Source organism: Homo sapiens, chromosome 9 (genome assembly GCF_000001405.40).
Source record: "Homo sapiens chromosome 9, GRCh38.p14 Primary Assembly".
Taxonomy (NCBI): domain Eukaryota; kingdom Metazoa; phylum Chordata; class Mammalia; order Primates; family Hominidae; genus Homo; species Homo sapiens.
Genome location: NC_000009.12, coordinates 97,523,361 through 97,547,538, shown reverse-complemented (window position 1 = coordinate 97,547,538; position 24,178 = coordinate 97,523,361). Strand labels below are relative to the sequence as shown.

The 24,178-nt window shown below is 45.7% G+C and overlaps 1 protein-coding gene across 3 annotated transcripts in view, besides 3 other annotated features; it reads right to left on the bottom strand.

Moving 5' to 3' along the window:
- The window catches only part of TMOD1 (tropomodulin 1), a 100,564-nt gene that overhangs the window by 54,205 nt on the left and 22,181 nt on the right, over positions 1-24,178 (bottom strand). For 2 of the 3 annotated variants that reach the window (NM_001166116.2, NM_003275.4), the window contains exons 2-3: positions 23,231-23,398; positions 1,198-1,354 (exon numbers count right to left, since the gene is read on the bottom strand). In NM_001166116.2, coding sequence (NP_001159588.1) covers positions 1,198-1,354; positions 23,231-23,350 — 277 coding nt within the window. In that variant the 5' untranslated portion in view covers positions 23,351-23,398. Of the gene's footprint in view, positions 1-1,197; positions 1,355-23,230; positions 23,399-24,178 lie in introns of those variants that run through there. The other variant, XM_047423825.1, reaches the window with a different exon arrangement.
- Positions 16,535-16,693: a silencer, noted in NCBI's record as "fragment chr9:100293128-100293286 (GRCh37/hg19 assembly coordinates)". NCBI's record gives its function as "represses an EF-1alpha promoter that drives an FKBP-Casp9 reporter gene in an ReSE screen in K562 erythroleukemia cells {active_cell/tissue: K562}" and the evidence as "EXISTENCE:reporter gene assay evidence [ECO:0000049][PMID:32094911]".
- Positions 17,782-17,831: an enhancer, noted in NCBI's record as "active region_28666". NCBI's record gives its function as "activates an Ori minimal core promoter by ATAC-STARR-seq in GM12878 lymphoblastoid cells {active_cell/tissue: GM12878}" and the evidence as "EXISTENCE:reporter gene assay evidence [ECO:0000049][PMID:35858748]".
- Positions 19,264-19,363: an enhancer, noted in NCBI's record as "active region_28665". NCBI's record gives its function as "activates an Ori minimal core promoter by ATAC-STARR-seq in GM12878 lymphoblastoid cells {active_cell/tissue: GM12878}" and the evidence as "EXISTENCE:reporter gene assay evidence [ECO:0000049][PMID:35858748]".

The window sequence follows — 24,178 nt, the reverse complement described above, 5'->3', positions numbered from 1 at the left end:
CAACCTCATGAGGCTGGTATTTTCATCATCCCTGTTTTACAGAGAAGGAAATGGAGGCACAGTAGGTTAAAACATTTACATATGTTCACACAGCTAGTAAGTGGTAGTGCCAGGATTGCAACTCAAATAGATGTAGCTCCAGGCTGTTTCTGACTATTATATCTTACCGGGCAGGAGGAGCCAGCCATGAAGAAGACAGCATGGAGCTGGGCAGCAGGACCAGCACTCCAGGCATAGGGAGTATGTGCAAAGGTCCTGAGGTGGAAAGTTTGAGAACAGCAGAAGGAGGCCTGTGGAACAATGGGATGAGGGGGATATTGGAGGGGGGCAGAGGGTTTGGAGAGCAACGGGAAGTCTTAGAATGGATGGTCAGGGAGGCCCTCTCTGTTTCCTGGGGCCTTCAAGATGGCTTGCCTCAGGCTGGAGCAGAGAGTATAATGGGACAGACGAAGGAAGGGAAGCTGCAGCTGCCAGAGAGAGGAACTTTGGAGAAAGAGCAGAGAGAATCTGGGTGGAGATGGTTAGTGCATCTCTAGTCCCTGGTTTGCATAGGATGGTCCCTGCTTAGGCTTCATGTCCTGATGTCTTTTTTTTTTTTTTTTTTTTTTTGGAGACGGAGTCTTACTCTGTTGCCCAGGCTGGAGTGCAGTGGTGCGATCTTGGCTCACTGCAACCTCCACCTCCTGGGTTCACGCGATTTTCCTGCCTCAGCCTCCTGAGTAGCTGGGACTACAGGCTCGTGCCACCATGCTCGGCTAATTTTTGTATTTTTAGTAGAAACAAGGTTTTGCCATGTTGGCCAGGCTGGTCTTGAACTCCTGACCTCAGGTGGTCTGCCTGCCTCGGTCTCCCAAAGTCCTGATGTCGTTATTAACAGTTTCTTCTTTTACTCTCAAAACTGTTTAGGTTTGCGTAAAAAAATAATCAGGACATCCTAGTGAAAGAGGGTTTAGGGAAAAGTTTTGCTGATTTGAGTGGATAGGAGTCTTTCCTCAGTCTACCCCCAAAACTTCATGAAATCTACATCATCCATAGATGCTTTTGAAGTTGGGTTTGGGTGTTTTGGCCAGGCAGGGATGAGGACAAGGAGGCCCAGTCACATTTGGCCCAACACAGGGCCTGGCAGGGCCTGGCATACAGTCGGCACTCAATGGTGCATGGGGAGTGGCATATTATAACAGTAACATTGTTCAGTACCTCGTTTTTCCCCTGTGTAGGGGACCAGATCTTCTCGGTCCTTAAACTCCTTTGCTTGCTTTTCCAAGTGATCCAAGAGCTCCTCTCTTTTAAAGGGGCCCGTGGGCGCCTTGGTGGTCTGATCCTTCTGCCTCAGGCCTGCAGGCAGCAGTGCATTCTACATTGGAGGTTGTGGGGGGGCAGGAGAGAGAGAAAGAGAGAGAGAGAAAGAGAGAGTGGTCAGCTGCTGAAGACTTGCACTTCTCCAGAAACTCATCATCGAACAGAAGGGACCTCAGAGCTCATGGAATCCATGGTGTTCCTCGTTTTACAAGTAAGGAATCTGAAACCCCAGGACAGGGAGGGACTTGTCCAAGGTCAAAGGCAGACAAGGGGCAGAGAGAGGCTAGGACTCAGGTCTCAATCCTCCAGCCCATCCCTGCCTCTAACATTTTTGAAGGAGAGGAGGTGAGGGGTCAAGGCAGCCGACTCCAGTCTGAGCACAGAGGGCACTGAAAGAGCATCTGCTGAGTGATGAATATGATTGAGTTGTTGTTTGGATGCATAAAGATATTCACAGGAGTTGAGTTGAGTATCAGGTGGCTCCGGAGAGAGAAGAAGCCAAAAGAGGGTTAAGCTGGGGCCCTGGATGGAGAATCAGGCAGGAAGAGGCAGACCAAAAAAAAAGCTGGAGAAAGGCCCAGGAAAGCAGCGAGGTGAGCAGTGCCCTGCAGAGCTAAGAGGAGGACGGGGCATGCTCTCTGGCCACAGTCCCTGCTGGCCCTACCCGCTGCCTTCTAACCTCCTGACGGGTCTGTGCTCACAACACACTGGTGGTTAAATATTTTGAACGTCGCCCCTGGAGATGGGTATCTCAAGAAACATAACATCAACCAATTGTTCCCTTCTCTTCTTCAAACATAAGCAGGCTTCTAGGTGTGGGCTTACTGCTAAAGCAGATTCCTATTGGGGGGATTGGAGTTATCCTCATGGGCTTCACTTTAACTCAGCCCCCAGTACCTTAGGGAGTCAAAGAAGTTTATAGCTGCAAGGATGCTTAGAGATCATCAGTGCACACACTCTCCCATTAGGGGAACTGAGGCACAGAGCAAGGAAAGATTTGCCCAAGGAATTTCAGGACAGATCTAGAACAAAAACCAGCGTTCTTCTTCAGATTTACGAGAGGAGGATGACCATTTCTAATCGTTGTGTGCTCCCTGTTCCCTGCATTTGCAGAGCTAGAGGAATACATGGGTGGCTGGTATGGGCAGAACATCACCCAAAAGATATGCACCCTCAAACTGACTAAACTGAAGAGTCATTCCACCTCCAACCTTTTTTTTTTTTTTTTTGAGATGGACTCTCGCTCTGTTGCACCCAGGCTGGAATGCAGTGGCGCAATCTCGGCTCACTGCAACCTCTGCCTCCCAGGTTCAAGCGATTCTCCTGCCTCAGCCTCCTGAGTGGCTGGGATTACAGGTGCCTGACACCACGCCCGGCTAATTTTTTGTATTTTTAATAGAGACAGTGTTTCACCATATTGGCCAGGCTGATCTCGAACTCCCAAACTCAAGTGATCTGCCTGCCTTGGCCTCCCAAAGTGCTGGGATTACCGTTCCCAGCCCCACTTTCAATCTTTGTACCATTAAAATGCATATCTTCAGTCACTGTCACAAACTCCATATCCTTTTCTGAAAGCTGCCTCTGTGAGGGGACTGTTATCAGGGATATGAAGATCACTGTATGCCTGGCACATAGAGGGATACAGCTTGGGAGGGAATACTACTGTTTAAGGAATCTTTTTAATTTTTTTTACTTTTTTTTTTTGAGACAGAGTCTTTCTCTGTCACCAAGGCTGGAGTGCAGTGGTGTGATCTCGGCTCAATGCAACCTCCACCTCCCGGGTTCAAGCAATTCTTCTGCCTCAGCCTCCCGAGTAGCTGGGACTACAGGCGCATGCCACCACACCTGGCTAATTTTTGTATTTTTAGTAAAGACAGGGTTTCACCATATTGGCTAGGCTGGTCTTGAACTCCTGACCTCATGATCCACCCACCTCGGCCTTCCTAAGCCCTGGGATTACAGGCATGAACCACCACATCTGGCCTAACTAATGCATCATTTTTTAAAAGGTGTACTATGCATAACACCACAGTGCTGTTTCAGTAAGAGTAGTGGCTGTAAGATCAGGAGACCGGGGTGTGATCCTGCCTCTGGGAGGGCTGTAAGTGAGCAGGGCCCACCCAGCACAGAGCCCGGACAGACAGATAATGGGCTTGGCAGGTGGTGCTGGTGTACTTGCAGAGAGATTTAGGCCACAGATCAAAAGAGACACTGGGAGTTGGAGCTTTTTATGAGAGGACAGTAGGTAGAAAATCAAGGCCTGACTGACTTTGGGGTGGGGGGCATCAGGAACATAAGTGATGCTCCACACATCCCACTTTTCCTTAAGCAGCAGTTCTCAGATATTGTCCACCATGATAGGCAGGACAGGTGATGCTCCCAGGTGAGCCATGCTTCTGTGGGCATGTCCCAGGTTTGATGGGACTTCCTGTAGCTAGCTGTGTGTGCCCACGCCTTCTCTTCCACAGCAGGGAGCTTATGGTGATGCAAGAGAGTGAGACAATACCTCACTGCCCTGCAAACATCAATGTGTGACTACCCATAATGAATAATCCAAAGTCTTTGTGACATGCCTGCACTTCACAGTTGACCCTACATCAGGCTTAAGCCCTGACTTGGAGTAATAATGATACAACTACACAATCTTGGGCAAGTCCCCTAAATCTCATTGTGCCTCAGTTTCCATGGCTGTAAAATGTGAATAATGAGAGTTGCTCTCTCATAGAGTGGTTGAGAAAATTAAACTAGATAATGCAGAAAATGTGCTCAGCACAGTGCCTAACATAGTAAACGGTCAAAAATTATTACTTATGATCCCTTCTATTGTTATATAATCAGGTAGAATATATGTTAATAGGAGATTGGTTACCCAAATATGTATGTTTAACAGGGAATGTATTATCCAAATATAAATTCAAAAAACTAAAACACACAATTATAAAATGAATTAAGCAGTGAAAGCAAGTGCTCATGCTTCTTAAGGATCCCCACAGGGAAGGCCTACAGATTTTCATTACCATAAAGGGTTTTAATGGCAGTAAGATGCTGGGGCATGTTCTGGCCCCAGAAAGGCTAAGTATTGCGATAGAAGAAATTCAGGGGTTGTAACTGAGGGGAGAAGGGTTTGCAAACTCTCATCTCTTTTCGAATCTATCTGGTAGAGGCCACGGATTTAGTTAAAGCAGAGTTTCTCAACCTCAGCACAACTGACATTCTGGGCTGGACACTTCCTTGTTGTGGAGGCCACTCTACCCACTGGAGATTGTTTAGCAGCCTTTCTGCTCTCTATCTCCTAGATGCTAGTAGCACTGCCCCCAGTTGTGACAACCAAAAATGTCTCCAAACATTGCCACATTTCTTTTATTTTCTTCCTTTTTTTTTTTTTTTTTTGAGATGGAGTCTCACTTTGTTGCCCAGGCTGGAGTGCAGTGGCGTGATCTCGGCTCACTGCAACTTCTGCCTCCCGGGTTCAAGCAATTCTGTCTCAGCCTCCCCAGTAGCTGGGACTACAGATGCCCACCACCATGCCCGGCTAATTTTTGTATTTCTAGTAGAGGCGGGGTTTCACCATGTTGGTCAGGCTGGTCTTGAACTCCTGACCTCAGGTGATCCACCAGCCTCGGCCTCCCAAAGTGCTGGAATTATAGGCATTAGCCTCCATGCCCAGCCACCAAATTTCCTTTGAGGGGCAAAATTGCCCCTGATTGAGAGCCACTGCATTAAACAAAAAGCCATATAATTATAACATGTTATATAATACAGATTTTTTAATGTATTTCAAAAATATTATTTACATAACATAAAAATATGGCTTCATTTATTCAAGTCTTTATTGAAAGCAGTTGATTTGTAAAAACAAAAATGTCAAAGGCCTTTTCTAATAACTCTAAGCTTATCACATTTTTAAAGTAAATATTGAGAATATCAGCCTCATTAGAGGTTAAAGTTTGTTTTCTTTCTATTAAATGGTATGTTTAACAAAATATCACATGATTGTCAGTAAAACCAAAGATAGATGCATATTTTTAAACTCCTGATTGTTTACCACTTTAACTCGTTTTCAAAAACAGCATGTGATCTCCCATTATATATAAAAACTCAAAGTGAATCAAAGACCTAGATATAAGAACTACACTATAAAACATTTGGAAGAAAACATAGGCATAAATCCTTCTGATTCTGGATTAGGCAATGGTTTCTTAGATAAGATATCAAAGCAATAAGCAACAAAATAAAAAAGTAGATTACTTGGACTTCATTAAAATTAAAAACATTTGTGCTGCGAAGGACACTAGTGAGAAGACAAACCACAGATTGGGAGGAAATATTTGTAAATCATGTATCTCATAAGAGTTTCATATCTAGAATACATAAAAATCTCTTACAACTCAATAATATATGACAAATAACCCAATTTAAAAATGGGCCAGGCGTGGTGACTCACACCTGTAATCCCAGCACTTTGGGAGGCCAAGGTGGGTGGGTCACCTGAGGTCAGGAGTTTGAGACCAGCCTGGCCAACATGGTGAAACCCTGTCTCCACTAAAAATACAAAAATTAGCCGGGCGTGGTGGTGCATGCCTGTAATCCCAGCTACTCAGGAGGCTGAGACATGAAATTTGTTTGAACTCAGGAGGCAGAGGTTGCAGTGAGCTGAGATCACGCCGCTAGACTCCAGCCTGATCAACAGAGTGAGACTGTCTCAAAAAAAAAAATAAAAAATAAAAAATAAAAAATAAAAATGGTCAAGTGGCTGGGCACAGTGGCCCATGCCTGTAATCTCAGCACTTTTGGGAGGCTGAAGCAGGCAGATCACCTGAGGTCAGGAGTTCCAGACCAGCCTGGCCAACATGGCGAAACCCCGTCTCTACTAAAAATACAAAAATTAGCCGGGCATGGTGGCGCACATCTGCAGTCCCAGCTACACGTGAGGCTAAGGTGGGAGGATCCTTTGAACTTAGGAGGCAGAGATTGCAGTGAGCTGAGATTGTGCCAATGCACTCCAGCCTGGGTGACAGAGCTCCATCTCAAAAAAATAAAAATAAAAATAAATAAATTTTTTAAAATGGGCAAGTGATCTGGATAGACATTTTTCCAAAGATTATATAAAAATGGCCAAAAAGCTCATGAAAAAATGCTCAATACTATTATCCATTAGGGAAATGCAAATCAAATCCAGAATGAGATACCATTTCACAGCCAGCAGGATGGCAATAATAAAAAAACACAGATAATAACAAGTACTGATGAGAATATAGAGCAACTAGAACTCTCATACACTGCTGGTAGGAATGTAAAATGATACAACCCTTTTGGAAAATAGTTGTGCAATTTCTCAAAAAGTTAAACATAAAGTTACCATATGATGCAGCAGATGTATGTCCACCCAAATGCTTGTACACGAACATTTATAACAGCATTATTCATAATAACAAAAGTACGAACAAGTCTAATGTTCACCAGCTAATGAATGGATAAGACAAATGTGGTATACCCATACAATTGAATATTATCAGCTGTGAAAAAAAACGTAGTACTACAACGTGAATGACCCTTGAAAACATCATACTAAGTGTAAGAAGCCAGATACAAAAGGCCATGTATTATACAATTCCATACAATATATGAAACGTACAGAACAGTCAAATCTGTAGAGACAGAAAGTAGATTAGTGGTTGCCTAGGGCTGGTGTTATGGACTGGAATGTGTGCCTCCAACTCATACGTTGAAGCCCTCACCCCCAGAGTGACTATAATTGGAGACAGGGCCTGTAAGGAGATCATTAAAGTCAAATGAGGTCATAAGGGTGGAACCCTGATCTGATAGGATTGGTGTCCCTATAAGAAGAGATACCAGAGAGCTGCTGCAACACCTCCTTCCCCAACCAGTCACCGTGAGAACACACAGAGAGAAGCTGTTGTCTGTAAGCCAGCAAGAAAGTCTTTACCAGAAACTAACCCCTCAAGACCCTGATCTGGGACTTCTAAGCCTCCGGAATTGTGCAAAAATAAGTCTCTGTTGTTTAAGCCACCTAGTCTGTGGTATTTTGTTAGAGCAGCCTAAACAGGTTAATACAGCTGGGAAGGTTGAAGGGAGATGGAGAGTGACAGCTAATGGGCATGAGGTTTCTTTTTGAGGTGATGAAAATGTTCTAAAATTGATCATGATGGTTATACGACTCTGTGAATATGCTAAAAGAACAAACCAATGAATGGCGCATTTTTGTTTTCTTTTTCTTTTTTTCTTTTCTTTTTTTTTTTTTTTTTTTGAGACAGAGTCTCACTCTGTTGCCCAGGCTGGAGTGCAGTGGCATGATCTCGGTTCACTGCAAGCTCCGCTCCCCACCTCCAGGTTCACGCCATTCTCCTGCCTCAGCCTCCTGAGTAGCTGGGACTACAGGCGCCTGCCACCATGCTCGGCTAATTTTTTGTATTTTTAGTAAAGACGGGGTTTCACCATGTTAGCCAGGATGGTCTCGATCTCCTGACCTCGTGATCCGCCCGCCTCGGCCTCCCAAAGTGCTGGGATTACAGGCGTGAGCCACCTCACCCGGGCTGAATGGTGCACTTTAAGTGGATGATTGTATGCTATGTGAATGGTATCTCAAAAAAGCTGTTTTTTTTAAATGGCATATGTTCATCTATGGGAGAATGATAAAAGTGGCTAATGCAGTAACTGCACCAAATGGTCATGGAATGCTGAGGCAAGAGGGCTCTTCATGTGCCAGTGGTTCACGGTGATGCTGAGACTGGCCAGGCTAGAGCTGGCCAAATTTCAAATGGTGCCTGTTTTACAATGTGATTTACCTTATTATGTAAATTACTTGTGGAGAAGTTAAATGAACCTGAAAATATCGCCATAGAGCTCTCATGATTATTAGAACCTAATACTGACTCTCACACCCGGGCTACTCAATAGGTGAGGAAAAGAGTTCCCACAACCATTCTGTTGTTGGCTCTGGCCAGGAGAGTATTTGGTGATCATGTATGCATAGAAAAGCACCTCTCATTCTCTTATTTCTTATTCATTCAATAAACATCTGCTAAATGAATGCTATGTGTCCAGGTAGTGTGTTAACATGTAGGGCTATGATCCCACAAAGAGAAATTAAAAAAATTGGAGTAACCAGGGAGATGAGAGGTGAATGGAGAAAGTAGAGTAAAATTAGAGAAAAGTTTTTCTTTGTTGATCTGTTTTGTTTGTTTGTTTGTTTTGTTTTGTTTTGTTTTGTTTTTGAGATGGAGTCTGGCTGTGCTGGCCAGGCTGGAGTGCAGTGGTGCTATCTCAGCTCACTGCAACCTCCACCTCCCAGGTTCAAGTGATTCTCCTGCCTCAGCCTCCTGAGTAGCTGGGATTACAGGTGCATGCCACCATGCCCGGCTAATTTTTTTTTTTTTTTGTATTTTTAGTAGAGATGGGGTTTCACTGTGTTGGCCAGGCTGGTGTCAAACTCCTGATCTCGTGATCCACCCACCTTGGCCTCCCAAAGTGCTGGGATTACAGGCATGAGCCACCGCACCTGGCCTAGAGAAAAATCTTAATTACACATAGTTATTCACTAAACACATGGTAATCAAGATCCTAAATGGAGGGGAAGGTCTACTTTACTGAATAGCAAAGAAGAATCTATAACAAGCCTATACATTACATTTAAAGGTACACTTTCATGGTGCCTGTGGGAAATTGAACTCATTTAACCTATAAGGAATTTAAATCTCAATCTTAAAATGTGCACAGGATAAATTTGCTGGGCAAGTGCTTTTTTTTTTTGTAGTTAGTTCAAAGGGAAGCATCAATCTGACTCCACCAAAGCAGCCGTCAATTCATGAGAGGCACTGAAAGTCACATGCACTTGTCACACAAACATCCTTACCCCAAAGACAGGTTGTGAGATTTGTATATAGGAATCTGAGGATATCTTTATGTCCTTATTTAACAATTGGAAATTTGCTCATCTGAGGAGGTCAGTGACTAATACCTGGATGATCTTTTTATCATTACCTGATAGGAAATTTAGCGCAGGTTTTAAGGAGGAGGAAATTCTAGATTATCTCTGATCTTAGGCTAAAATTATATAATAGCTGTGAGTTACGTGGGAGTGTTGGGGACTGGGGCATACTAGAGCGTTCATGCCTCCACACTACCCAGCTCCAGCGGACTGTTGACATGTAGGAATGTGGATGTTGTTATTAGATCTGCTCAGTTTTGTGTGAAACCTCTTGATTTTAAAATATTGACACGTAGTCCAAATATTTTAATAACAATGTTCAGGCCAAATAAAACATATCTGCAAGGCAGACTCAGCCCATAAACTGCCATTATGCCACATCTGATCTAAGGTTCCTAGCAAACTAAGATTCCATGTAAGAAAGCCAAAATATTCATTCATTTATTTCTCAAATATTTACTGAGTATCCTGACCATATCAGGTGTTGGGCTAGAGAAAGCAAGAGGTATACACATAGGTTTTAAATTTAGAATTTTTTAAATTTTGAAAATACAAAGTTTAATTTGTTCTTGAAAATGACTATAGAGGTGGAAATTAGGCAACTTTTCCTGTGTGCAGTTGCCAACTCCTGATTTTTAAAATGGTGGCTTCACCTTAAATGTTGTAGAATTATAACTCGGATGTGCAGCTTGGCAGGCTAACATCACAGTCTAATTTTCACACCCACACTCTGGAGTCCAGTTGTTCAAAGGACAATGGAAACTTGGACAGATCCTTAACTGTGCTGTTAGGAGCTCTAACACCCTGCAAACAGGTGCCAGTAAAGCTAAATATCAAGTATCTGCACAGTTATCATTGCTATAGATAGGGCTACGTGAGAAGCCATCCTGCCTAGAACCTTGTGGGCTTGTTCAGATGTGCACACAGAGGCAACACACATGCACACACACGTACATATACCCGCACACACAGGCACGCACGATCACACATGTGCACACATGTGCAGACATGCACACACGTGCACATGCATGCACGCACACATGCATGAACACACACAATGCATTAAAAGGATCACAGACTCCTGGCAGCTCGGAAATATAAAGCCCTAAAAGATCCTCTAGACCAATGATTTTTTTCATTTTCCATTGGGGAAACTGAGGCATAGAAAACTGAAGTCACTGGCCCAAAGTCACATAGCTTGTTAGCCTCATAGCTGGGAAGCCTGAGCTTACATAAAAATGACACTGTATATAATTAGCATGTATATATATTAGCATGGTCAAGGATCTATATAACTATCTTCAGACTGGTGGCTCACCATGCATAAAACCATGCAAAACCCCTTAACCTGGTTCCTCACAGTGACAAAAAAACAAGGAATTTTTATCACTTTTCCCAAATACATCAGCTATATCTAAGAACAAGGGAATGCAAAACGTGACCCCTGGGTCTGGGCTCTGGCGGTCCCAGGTTCCTATTCTGTGACTGAATTACACACAGCTTCTTGGAAGAGGACAGGACAGGTGGTAAAACCTCTTTATCAGGGATTGGAAGAAGCCAAGGGCCGGGGAAGGGAGGGGCCTCACTTGAAGTCATACGCTGGACCGAGAGCCCAGGACTCTTGACTTCCATCCCACAGAAAATTTTCCATCCCACCTGACTGCCGTCCTCTGGGAACAAATCCTGGAAACCAGATGTGGCCGCACGTGAGAGCCAGGTCTCCTCCACAAGTGTTAGAAAGCAGGGGAGTGGAGACTCCCCTGCTTATCAAATGAGTCTCAGTTTACACATGGAGAAACCGAGGTCCAGGGGCATTGAGTAATTGTCCTGGGGTAGGAGTGAAACCAAAGTGGCCTCACTTTTCGAACTTCCAGCTGACTCCTCTTCCCTCCTCCCATTTCAAACAATTTAACCTAAGTGTGCCCTAGACGCCCACCTGCCTCCACATCAGGCCAGGCCAGGCCAGGCCAAACCTATCACAGGCCAGCAACTCCCCTAGTTGCCTTTTACAAGGGATTTGACTGGAAAACAAAAGTTTTTAACTGGCCTTGAGGATTTTATTTTCCAGTTATCTGCCAGGTCGGTTTCTCCTTATGAAAAACTTAGGCACTTATGGTCCCATCCCAATATACAGAGTTCTGCCTTTGCATTACTGTCCAGCAGCTTCCAGATCCCACTGGAAATGATGCAGTGGAGCGCTCTTCTCACATACTTTAGCCTGAGAGTGTGGCAGGGGCAGCGGGGTGAGCCAACTCTTGCCTCAGTCACAGCGTCTTGATGTTACAAAGGGACCAGCAGGATCCAAACCTCTAAGAGCCCCACCCCCTCCAGACACAGCCTCTGCCCTAACATACACACTCTGGGACTCTTCCTCCCTCTCTTTGCTTTCTCTCCACAAAGAGCTAGGCCTTTGGCTCAGCTGCCCTGACCTTGATGCAGGGCTGGTGAAACTCAATAGCTGCCATTTCCCCAGTCAACTTTACAGGGCATTAATGCCGACGTCCAAAGGCACTCCTGTAGCTGAAACCCAATAATTGCTTGTGGTGGTACCTATTTGTCATAGCAGCACAGTCTCTCTCTGGTATTCAAGGTGGGGACAAACCTTCCCTCCCTGGCTTTCTCCAAATCCTCCTTTCCTGCCTCATGTGCAGGGAAAATGTTCCATGTTCCTGTTGTGCTGGGGACTGGGTATCCTGAGACAATGACGGTACGATCCCAGCCCAGAGGGGCTCACAGCCACAGGGGAGATACACATCTCAGTGGTGTGGTCACCTTACTCAGCCCTGGGCTTCCTGGAGGAGGTGGTCCTGAACTGAGTCTGAGGGACCAGGGAAGAGCCAGCCAGGTGAAGAGAGGGAGTGCAGGGGCATCGCAGGGAGAGAGAAAGCACAGTGCAGCAGAGGCCCAGCAGATGAGGGCGGCATGGCCTGCTAGGGGAGGCATTAGGGTCTGAGGCTGCAGTGTTCCGAAATGTCTCCTTCTGTGGGCATCACCCTCGTTCCAGCCCTTGTGAGTCTTGCCGGGACCAGCAGAGAAGCCTCCTGGCTGGTTTCCTGCTTCAGGCCTCTCTACCTCTGCTCCTTAGACTCCACTGACATGTGTACCTGACCACATCACTCCCCAGCATACTCGGAGATGCTCACCAACTTCCCTGACCTACGAATTCTTGACCAATTCATCAGCCAGGCATGAAGAGCTTTTCATGATTTGACTCCAACCTACTCCCACCTCTCCAGCCTCCTGAGCCTCTTCCCTTCATCAAGTAGCCCATGTTCTAGCCACTCCAGGCTGCTCCATATTCCACAGCCACGCCCTGCACTCTCCCACTGCCATGCCTTTGCTCAAGGCTGTGCCTTCCACCTGGAATTCTGTCACTCCAGCTCCCCTGCATTCATCTTTCAAAGCCCTTCCCTTGGGCACCCTGTTCAGCCTTTGCAGGATTCTCCAAACTGACCTGGTGAATCTTGCTCCAAACTCCCCTAGGCATCTTGCCAGTTCTTGAATAATGCTCATCTTACTCTGTGGAGCATATCTATGCTGTATCTCTCTCCCTAAGGATACTGGGTGCCCTTCAAGGGCCAGCTGGGATATATCTTAATTTTCTCTGAATCCCCAGCACCAAGCCATGAGTGCTAAGAGAATGTGGTCTGAGTTGTCCAGTCACACAACACTGATGCTCCAGCTGGGAACAGGATGGTATGACTTGGACTCCCTTCAGGCCCATGTTGCACCTGCTGTCCCAAGCCATTGGCTTTTCCACCCAGCTGCTGTCCCCAATTGGGTTTTGGGGAGAGGGACATATTATGAAAGATGTCAGAGTTGGGGAGTGTCTAGGATGAGACCAAGGTTCACTGTCGTGGGTTTTGGGAAATGCCAAGCTAGAGAGTGAGACCTTTATAATGTTTACTTTGAGGGCCTGGATTTGGTTAAAGTCCTGCCAACTCCTCTCAATCCATCTCAGGGCTTTCAGCAGAGTAGAACATCAGGCCATCACACTAGTGAACCCACAGTGACAGACTCCAAATCGTCCCCGATTCAAGCTTCCCCTTCTTTAGCAATAAAAGAAAGCCTCCACTTTTTAGTTGAGCTCTTGGCTGCTCAGATTAAAGGCTACACTTCACAGGCTCCCTTGCAGCTAGGTTGAGTCATATAATTAAGTTCCAGGCAATGATATGAGAAATGTCCAGTGGCAATTTCTGGTAACTTTCCTTAAAAGGGACTTGAATCATGGCTTTTCTCCTTTCTTTTATCCCTCCCCCTCCCCATCCCTTTTTCTCTATTTGGATGCCTGGAATGTGGCTATTATGGCTATAGGGCTACACCTTAGGAATGGCAGAAAGATGAGCTGGACAAAGTCTAGGACTCTGAGAAGTCTGGGGAGCTGAGCTCCATCCCAGCCCTAGATTGCCTACCTGTGGACTTTTACTTGAGGGATGGATAAAACACTGCACAAATCACATTATTCTGAGTCTCTGTTACTTGTAGCGAAGCTGCACCCTACCTGATAACCTGGGTTCTCAGCCCAGGGCTGTGAGGCCACAGACGGGGCACTGGTGCTCTCTGGTTTTGGATCCCCCATCTGTAAAATGAGGGTCCAGAGCCCTTTTATCTTGAAACCTCAGAATAAAGGTTTAAACTCCATATGGAAGCAGTTTCTTGCTATTCAGTTTTACCATCACTGGGTATGATCATTCACTTTCATTCAACTGAACAGACACTGCATTATGGAGGTGGTCTGTCAGGGCAGTCACATCTGGTTGTGCAGGTTGTGCACTGCACTAAGCCAAGGACATTATTCACTCTCTAGTCTATGTGAACAGTGTCTCCTGGAGAAAGTGTCCAACTTGCACAACTATACCTGGCTGCACTGTATCTGTGGCCATACAGTATGGTTCCCAGTCTCAAAAAACTTAGATTCTAGTGGACAAATCATATACTCAGGCTCACATTTATTAAGGACCACCACGTGCCAGGCACTGGGCTAGGTGCTTTTCATCTAATCACACATGTATATGTTTGTGTATGTGTCTATTTTTTATGCTAAAACAAACACCTGCCATAGGAGGTAGAACCAGAGCTGCAAACTGAGAGGCCTACAGGCCAATTAAAAGCTAACACTTGGTTGGGTTTGTTTGGTCTGTGCATTTAAATAAGCTGTCAGCATTTTAAAATAAGGAGCTTATACATTTTTTAAAAATCCAGATTTCCAACATCTCTGGAAACATTAGGTGACGTGGCAATACCAGGTCTGCACTCTCATACCGGCAACAATTAGTGGAGCTGAAAATGCTGGGCGCTTTAGACAAACTCCCATTTGCCTCAGTCCCCACCACTCCCTGTTTTCTCTGACACAGAGGCCACGGTCAGTTACTACATAGCACTGGTTTTGCTGTTGCTTTTAGTTCTGAAAATGTAAATGGTAAGTGAACATTTTCTTACATACACATACCTTTATAAAGTGAGAAAGTAATAGATAAGCCAAGATGACCACATGGCTCAAGAAAATTGACCCATCTTCCTTCCTTCATGTAGGTCACTTACATGATGTTGTGGATACTTGGTTTGCTGCCTCCCAATAGAAAGCGCTCAGTAGAGTGGCAGAGATGATGAATAGAAAGGGAGACAGAAAGGCAGGGTTTAAATTTTATCTGTAGTGATTTCTTTTTTTTTTTTAAGAATGATCAGAACCAAATAAGGCAAAATTTTAACATTTGCTAAATTCAGATGATGAGAAAATAGGTATATACTGTACTCTCCTATGTGTTTAAAATGTTTCCTATTCAACATGTCAAAATCAAATAGGAAACAGCTCAGTGTTGCCAGGGTGGAGCAGGTGCTGTGCTAGGGGTGTGAAGGTGAAAGAGTCTAAAAGGCTTCCCGAGGGAGGGGAGGAAAGGTCAAGCCTTGAAAAATGTGAGGAAGTGAGGGGTTCCAGGTCGAGGAGGTTCCCCAGCCAGAGGAGGGGTTGGGAGAGGTGGTCATGGGTCCAGAGGGCAGAGGGTAGGGTGGGGACACACAGATGCCTGGCCTGACTTGCCCTCACCCCACCAGGCCCATCCTCGGCTCTGTGCACAGCCAGCAGTGTTTCTAAGGATGTGTGCCTATTTTTAGAGGAGAGATTTATTTCTTTCCATTTCAACTGTTTACTTCTGTCCTGGGCTTGCGATTCTGCCGGTTTGTGTTACAAAGGAGAATCACGGCCCTGTGGACCAAACTTGGCTGCTTCCTGGATGGCAAGAGTGTCTTTGCCTTAAAGGATATGATTTGGGGCACAAGTAGGGAGGATTTTATGATCGTCTGATGGGAAGCCATGTGGAGTGACAGGAAGTACCAGGTGGGCGCCTTGGCTCGGCCGCTGACTTGCTGTGTGACCTTGAATGAGTCCTTACCCCTCTTTCCACTTCAGGGTTTTGTTGATGCTTGGATGTCTCATCAGTGAAATGGTAATAATGACACCTCACAGGATGGGTATGAGGATTTGATGAAATACATAAAACACCAAGTGTGTCCAGGACAGACTCCAAAATCAGGCTTTCTCTACCGGTACCGCGTATGTAGATGCCTGGGGTGGGGTACTGTTAGATGATTTCTAAGTGTCCTTGGAGCTCTGGGATTCTCCAATTCTGTTTTCCATATTTCGTCCTGCAATTCATGGCCCTTTGTTCTCAGAACTCTGTTTTTGAGATGGAGTCTTGCTCTGTCACCCAGGCTGGAGTGCAGTGGCATGATCTTGGCTCACTGCAACCTCCGCCTCCCAGGTCCGAACAATTCTCCTGCCTCAGCCTCCCAAGTAGCTGGGATTACAGTTGCGCACCACCACGCCTAGCTAATTTTTGTATTTTAAGTAGAGATAGGGTTTCTCTATGTTGGCCAGGCTGGTTTTGAACTCCTGACCTCAAGTGATCCGCCTGCCTTGGCCCCAAAAACTGCTGAGATTATAGGCATGAGCCACCACACCCAGCCTGTTCTCAGAACTCTTGACACATTATGGTCTAAGGAAAGCAGGGTCTGTCTGAATTCTATCACTTAATAGCTGTGTGATTCTGGGAACCTATTTCTTTATCTACAGAATGACATTAAACCTCATCCTATGAGGATCAATCTTGTAAGATCCTTGTAAATATTTTATGAAATGATGCCCATAAAATGCTTAGCATAGCACCTGGCATGTAAGAACACCTTAGCAGAGGCCAGGTGCAGTGGATCACATCTGTAATCCCAGCACTTTGGGAGGCCAAGGGGTGGTGGGGGGGGTGGGTGTGGATCACCTAAGGTCAGGAGTTCGAGACCAGCCTGGCCAACATGGTGAAACCCCATCTCTACTAAAAATACAAAAATTAGCCGGGCATGGTGATGTGCGCCTGTAAGTCCAGCTACTTGGGAGGCTGAGGCAGGAGAATCACTTGAACCTAGGAGGCGGAAGTCACAATGAGCCGAGATCACGCCGTTGCACTCCAATCTGGGCAACAACAGTGAAACTGTCTCAAAAAAAAAAAAAAAAAAAGCCGGGCCCGGTGGCTCACGCCTGTAATCCCAGCACTTTGGGAGGCTGAGGCAGGTGGATCATGAGGTCAGGAGATCGAGACCATCCTGGCTAACACGGTGAAACCCCGTCTCTACTAAAAATACAAAAACAATTAGCCAGGCATGGTGGCGGGCGCCTGTAGTCCCAGCTACTCGGGAGGCTGAGGAAGGAGAATGGCGTGGACCCGGGAGGCAGAGCTTGCAGGGAGCCGAGATCATGCCACTGCACTCCAGCCTGGGCGACAGAGCGAGACTCTGTCTCAAAAAAAAAAAAAAAACTCCTCAGTAGAAAATCATCGTTATTATTATTCAGGCTTTGCAGAGGGTCTGTTGTTTTCCATTATTGTTTCTATGGTTATATTGTGTCACAGATTCCTGACAGCTGACTTTAAAATCAACTCTTAGGACCCAATTTCTTTATAAGGTTGAATTATCTCTACCATCTTCTCTCCTGCGAATATTTTGAGCCTTTTACTGAGACAGTTTAAAAAATGTTCTGCCTTTCCCCAAATCCTCATTAACAATCAATATTTACAGTTAAATTCCTTGTGTTGGTGGATTCTTCTTTTCTTGAAAGATTAGTATTTATTGTGAAAATAACATAACAACTTCAAAAGAAATCAAGTTGGAAATAAGAATTTACGCATAATTCCCCAATCTGCTCTCTGAGTTTCCTTCTGGGCTAGTCTCAGAGGTGCTCCCAGGGTTAACAGCACAGGTTACTGGGCCAAGACTGTCTAGGTTGGAATCCCAGCACCGCTCAGATTGCATCCTGGGCAGGTTACTTTATATCTCTAAGCCTCGGCTTCTCCATCTTTAAAATGGGGCTAATGACTGAACCCTCCCAGAGGACTAAATGAGATAATCCACGTAGGGCTTTGCTTATGGCACACCCAGGAAGTATTGAGCGTCTATTACTCATATGAAAACTGTACACTGCTCCCTGCAGAAGTCACGATGACTTGTCATTCTCAAAACCTCTCTCTGTGTTGCCCCCACTGCCTGGTACAAAGGCAATCTGAACTGAGGAGCTGGCTCTGCTTCAGAGCAGCATCCACTTAACTCCAGAGAGATGAGAAAGGGCAGATCCTCTGGGGAATCAGTCAACAGCGGATACTTTTAGCACATGAAGCATTCCTTTCCCGAGGGAGTCCAAGTGCAACAATCTCATGATAAGCTCGAGTTTTTCCAGAGAGAGAGATAGAAAGTTTTGGGGACTTTTTTTTTTTTTTTAACGTGCACAAGTTTGGAATCCTCTGCTGCAAACAGAGCTGCTTTCCAAGTCCTCGTACTCCATTCTGCCACATGACACTGGGGCTTAACAATTGCATAACCAGAAACGTCACCCCTTGAAGTGTTTGTTGAATTCAGGTACTAAGACAGCCAGGAATGGTTCAAAGAAATCATATGTGGTTAGAGCTAGAGGGGGCTTCCAAGGCCATCTAGGCCGACTGTATCCATTTTACAGACAGGAAAATTGAGATCCAAAGAAGGAAAATCACGTACCCAAGTCCAGAGCAGAGCCAGGACTGGAACCTGGACTTCTGCACCTCAGGCTCTTTCCCAGAAAAAAGAGGGATTATTTTCCTACAGCGACCCCCAACCACAAAACCAGAGCACATCTGCAGTCTAAACTCTCTCCCTGAACACTCCCATGAGGCCTTGGAGTGGCATGGCTACGTCGTGGACTCCAGACCCACACGCAGTGGCTCTGCCATCGCCTAGTTGTGGGACTTTGGACAAGTTACTTCACCTCTCAGTTTCCTCATCTGTAAAATGGGGATGATAACAGCGCCTGCCTCCTAGGATCATGATGATGGTCAAATAAGTTAATATTTTCAAATTCCTTAGAACAGCACCTGCACATAGTGAGTGCCATCTAAGCACTCATTAAACAAAAACAGGAGGAATATGGACTATAACAGAGAGGGCAGTGGCCTAGGTGCCAAGGCACCAGGGTTCTGATCTGGTTCTGCTTGGATGTGTGACCTAGACCAAGTTCTTTCCCCTCTCTGGGCTCTGCTCCTGCTCTGAAGCCGTGGGAGGGGCAGACACCTGCTGGCTGGCTAGGAGTCTCTCATTGTCTGCATATCTTTGGCCTCTCCCTGTGCTGTGATTTCAGAGCATGGGCCAAGGGAGGGTGAAACTAGAACTGGAATGTTTGTGCTCTCCAAAAGAAGGGAGGCCCTCCAGGCCTTTTCGAAGCTCACATACTGTCTTGCAAATCAGGTAACAGAGCTGATCTTAATGAAGGGATCAATTGTGTGGCTGGGACAGAAACTCACTGGCCTCCATTATCTCCTATCCTCTCTCTGGTTTCTCTTCTCTTTTCTTTGAACTGAGAGAGAAAGGGGTCTTTGAAAATGCCAACTGGGAAACCACAGTGGTCTGAGAATCTCAGGTCTCAGATGGCCCATGCCTGCTCCCACACCCCTGTGCTCAATTACTTTTCTCCTGCCAGAGTGGGAGGTGCACACACTCTGGAGCCTGTTTGAAATCCGAGTCTCCGTGCCTGCCTGGGTCCTGCGACCGTCAGCAAGTTGAGCCCCAGGTGCTCTGTCCCTCCAGTAGCACAAGTGGAGTGTCCCTTCCCTGCTAATCACCTGGGCGGGAAAGCTGGCTGTGTGAGAGCTGCAGGGCCCTGGGTATTTGCTGCTGAGGCTGGATGCTCTGATATGTCGGGTGGCAGACCTGCGGGAGCTCTTTGCCAGTTTGGGGGTGAAACAGAATGCAGTTGCTGGTGGATGTATTTTGGGTTCTGCGAGGCCTCCTCCATCTGTCCCCCTCCACTCCCAGGTCTGTCGCTTGGCTCTGACCCTTGTCATCACCTGCCTTATTTGCGGTCACAGCCTGACCTAACCTCATCCCCATGCAGCATCTCAGGGCAACTCAAACAGCCCAAAAGGCCTGCAGGGCCCTCAGGTGCACTTCTCCCTGGGAATGGCAGAGATTCCCCCGCGGGAGCGCCTCCCACCTCTCACCCATCTCCCTGACACCCCTCCAGTCCATGTGTCCCCAGCATCAGCTCCCAAAACCCCTCTGAGTCTCTGACCCTCAAGGGCTCCCTGAACCCACTGAGCAAAGTCTAAACCCGTCAGTCGGCCTTGCCGCCCCCTCTTCCCCCGCGTTATCTATCCCAACCCCTCTTTCTAGTCGCATCTGACCCTCCACAGAAACCACACTAAGATTCCCATCCCCAATTCCTTCCCTACACAACACTCTCCTTGCGGCCTTTCTCAAAGGCCCTCACTCGGCATGGAATTAAAAAAATCCAGAGCTCAGTTCCAGTATCACCTGCTCTGTGATGCCTTGCACCAGTAAGAGTTAATCTCCTGGCACAGCTTCCTGTCTGCTCTGTGTCAAGCTCAGTGTATTATGCCTGTGTCCCCACCAGCCTGTGCTCCTGAAAGGCAGAGTCCCAGCCAGGCTGCCCTGTTGGTGCCCAGCACAGTGCTCGGCAGGTAACCGAGTCACATTTATTGAGTTAACTGGAAGTGGCTACATGCCTCTTTTGTTCTCCCTTTATAAAGTTGTTTGTTCTTGGAATTCTGTGTGACAGTGATCTAGGATAGAATTAGAACAGAATAATTTTGCAGCTTGATTTTTTTCTTGCCTACATGGCTTGTTTTTACTGAAACACAGGCTAATGGGGAGAGATGATGCGGGGGAAGAAAGAGAAATGCAAGGCTCTTTCCACCAATGCCGACTTTTGATCAACTTGAGCAGCCTCATCAGGAAACCATCTTCTCCTGGCAGGCAGGGGAAGATCGTGAATATCAGGAAGAGGAGGACACACTGTTGGAGAGATGTGTAATTCTATGGGGCCTGGGACCCAAGAGCCCTAGGCAAGGATTCTGAGTTATCTGGAATGAAGCCACTTAATCACACCTGGGTATAAGACCAGATTATAAGTCAGGTTAGCTTAACCCTGAAAATGACCAACCAACTCTGCTATTCCATGGCTGGGGACATTGAGGTCTAGGAAGGATGGCAGCTTGGTCCAAGGTCACATGGAGTGGAAGAGACAGGGTTGGGATTGGAAGCGAAACACCTAACTTCTAGTCCTGCATTTTTTCATCAAACTGTGCTCCCGGGATGTTAGCAGTGACCATCTCTGGGTGAGTGAGATTGAAGTGTTGTTTTCTTTATGGATCACTATTAAACCAGAGTTGAGCAATGGCTGGTTTAAAAAAAGGGTGTGATACATTCCATTTTTAATTAAAAATATATAACATGGAACATTTACTCAGTTCAGTAACTTTGATTATCTACCTTCTCTGTGCTGGTTATTGACCTGGGTGCCTGGGATATAGCTGTAGGATGAAGACCCTTGTCTAGGAGGCCACCTACGAACCCCTCTATGCCCATGCTCACAGTTCTAGTGTGACTTGCTAAACCACATACACAACCAAAGAGACTTTTGACTCTTGACACTGTGTACCCTGACTGCAGGGATGAATTCTGAGTATTAAACACACTTCTAAATGTGCCAACTATGAAATGCAATGATAAAACATCAAACATTAAATGAGAAGAATTATTCTGGTCCTTTATTTCTCAGCTCATTCATTCCATGACACATGTTCTCCACCATCCTGAAGCTGCTGGCTCGATATAACGGGGTAACGGCCTTTTGAAGACTCAGTTACAGTGCCAGCTAGGTGGCCACACCTTACAGGCCGGGGCAACATTCTCCAGAAGGCTGTATATGCTCTGAATCAGTGGGCAATTGCGGATGCCATTTCTCCCATAGCTAGGATTCATGGGTCAGGGAATCAAGATTGGAAATAGGAGTGGCACCACTCACCATTTCTCCTAGTGATGCACTAGCAAAACTTTTGTTCATTGTTCCCATGACCCTGTGGTCTGCTGGCCTAGAAGTCTTAGTTTCAAAGGACCAAAGTTCCACTAGGAGACACAACAATTCCATTAAAATGGAAGTTAAAACTGCCACCAGGCCACTTTGGGCTCCTCATGACTCTGAATCAATGAGCAAAGAAGGGAGTTACTGGGCTGGCTGGGGTGACAGATGCTGACTACCAAGGAGAAATTGGATAGCTATTGCACAAGGGAGGTAAGAAAGTATGTCTGGATACAGGAGAGCCCTTAGGGCGTTTTTTAGTATTACCATGCCCTGTGATTAGGGTCAATGGAAAACTACAACAAACTAATCCAGGCAGGACTACTAATGGCCTAGGCCTTTCAGAAATGAAAGCTTAGGTCACCCCATCGGGTAAAGAACCACAACCAGCTGAGGTGCTTGCTAAAGGCAAAGAATGGGGAATGAAACAGGGTAGTTATAAATACCAGCTACAACTATCTGAGTAGTTACAGAAATGAAGACTGTAATTGTCATGAGTACTTCCTCCTTATTTTATGAACACTTGTATTGTGTGTGTGTGTGTAGCAAATATCTTTGCTTTTTCCCTCTCTTATTCCCTTATCATGTAACACAAGATTGTTTGATACCGACTTTACTGTTATTGGTGTATTGGCTTTGTATAATAGGATTTAAGTATCATTAATTTTACATTATAATATTTAAGTTACAGGACAGCAAGGAGAAGAATAAACATCACTCATGGACTTTACCTCCTCTTCTGGGGAAGGTGATAGTGTGTTTTCCATTGTACCCAGGATAGTTGTATCATGTTAGGCAGAATTATGACATCGTTACTGTCTTTATTTGGAAATTAAGTATGGTTTAAAGAGATGTATATGTGTGCCAAGTTGACAAGGGGTAGACTGTGATGGTTAATTTTGGGTGTCAACTTGACTTGGCCATGGGATGCTCAGACATTTGGTCAAACATTTTTCTGGGTGTGTCTGTGAGGGTGTTTCTGGATGAGACCAATATTTGAATCAGTAGACTGAGTAACACAGATTATTCCCCCTGATATGGCGGTGGGGGGTGGGCATCCAATCAGTTGAAGACCTGAGTAGGGAAAAAAAGCTGACCCTCCTCCAAGTAAGCGGAAATTTCCTCCTGCCTGACTGCCTTGAGCTGGGACATTGGCTTTTTTCTGCCTTCGGATTCAAACTAAAACATCTTTTCCCAGACCCAACTCTTCCTGGGTCTTCGGCCTGCTGGTTATTTGTATTTGTATTGGAACTGTGCCATTGGCTCTCCTGGGTCTCCACCTTAGCAACTGCAGATCTTGCTGGTCTCTATAGCCTTGCAAGCTAAAGCCTTATAACAAATCTCTCTCTCCCCTTCTCTCTCTGTCTCGACACACACACACACATACACACACACACACACACACACACCCTATTGGTTCTCTCTTTCTCTGGAGAACCCTAATACAACACATTAAAAGAAAAATCTGCAAAGGCAAAGTTATACCAATGTCATTGCCATGGAAGGAAAAAGGAAGTGGTGGCTTTAGGAAGCATCCACCTGTCCCTCCCCAGGTCCCCTCGCTAGTGACAATGTGCTTCCCTTTAGCACCTACTCACATCAGGGTCCAGCTCATCCAGCTCATTTTCCAGGGTCCTCAGCTCTTCCTCTGTTAGGGCTCCAAGGATTTCATCTTCATCCAGGTCACGGTATTTCTCTAGTTCTCGTCTGTACGACATCGTGGAAGAACTTGTCTGTGTCTCCTGAATTTCTGTGCTGAGTAATACCTACCAGAAAGACAAGAACCTTAGAAAGACCCGTCTCAGATTTGCTCTCTCAGAGCAAATGGAGGCTCATCGTTCACACAGCGGCCTGGGTACATTTTATGAATTGCCAGGATAATCATTACTATGGTGGAATACTACACTAAGTTTGGCTAATTCTCTAATAAAACTGTGCAAGGTAAAGTCCTGAGAGCATGTAAGTTAATGAATTGTAATTGGTTAGAATTGGCATGGACATTAATTACAAGTAAATGGGCAATTGTAAATGGCTTATGAGTGCCTGAAAACAATGTTATTCTTTAAGGAGTTCAAATACTTTTCTGTGTAACTCTCCACCCTTCACCCTACACCCCAGAGGGAATCATGAATGCTGGAAACTCTGCCAAAACTGAGTTTAAAAGGGGCAGGGGAGTATCGGTGGTTAATTAAGCACCTACTGCATACAGGCCCCTCACCTACACCATCTCATTCAATCCTTACAAAAAGTAGTTCATAGAAATAGCTAACTTTTACTACTGCATATCAAGCTGTGTGTTCAGTACTTCACAAGGACTTTCTCATTTAACCTGTGAGGTAGGTATTACCATTATCCCCATTTTATAGAGAAGGACTTAGAGAGATTAAGTGACTTACCCAAACGACACTACTAGGAAGCAGCAGATCCACATTTAAACTCAGGTCTGCTGGCTGCAGACCTTCTCTGCGGAGTCACCCAATGGCGTGGCCAGGGGACTGCCTAGTCCAGAGCCCCCATTTCCCCCCAGAGGGAGCCGGTTCAGAGGG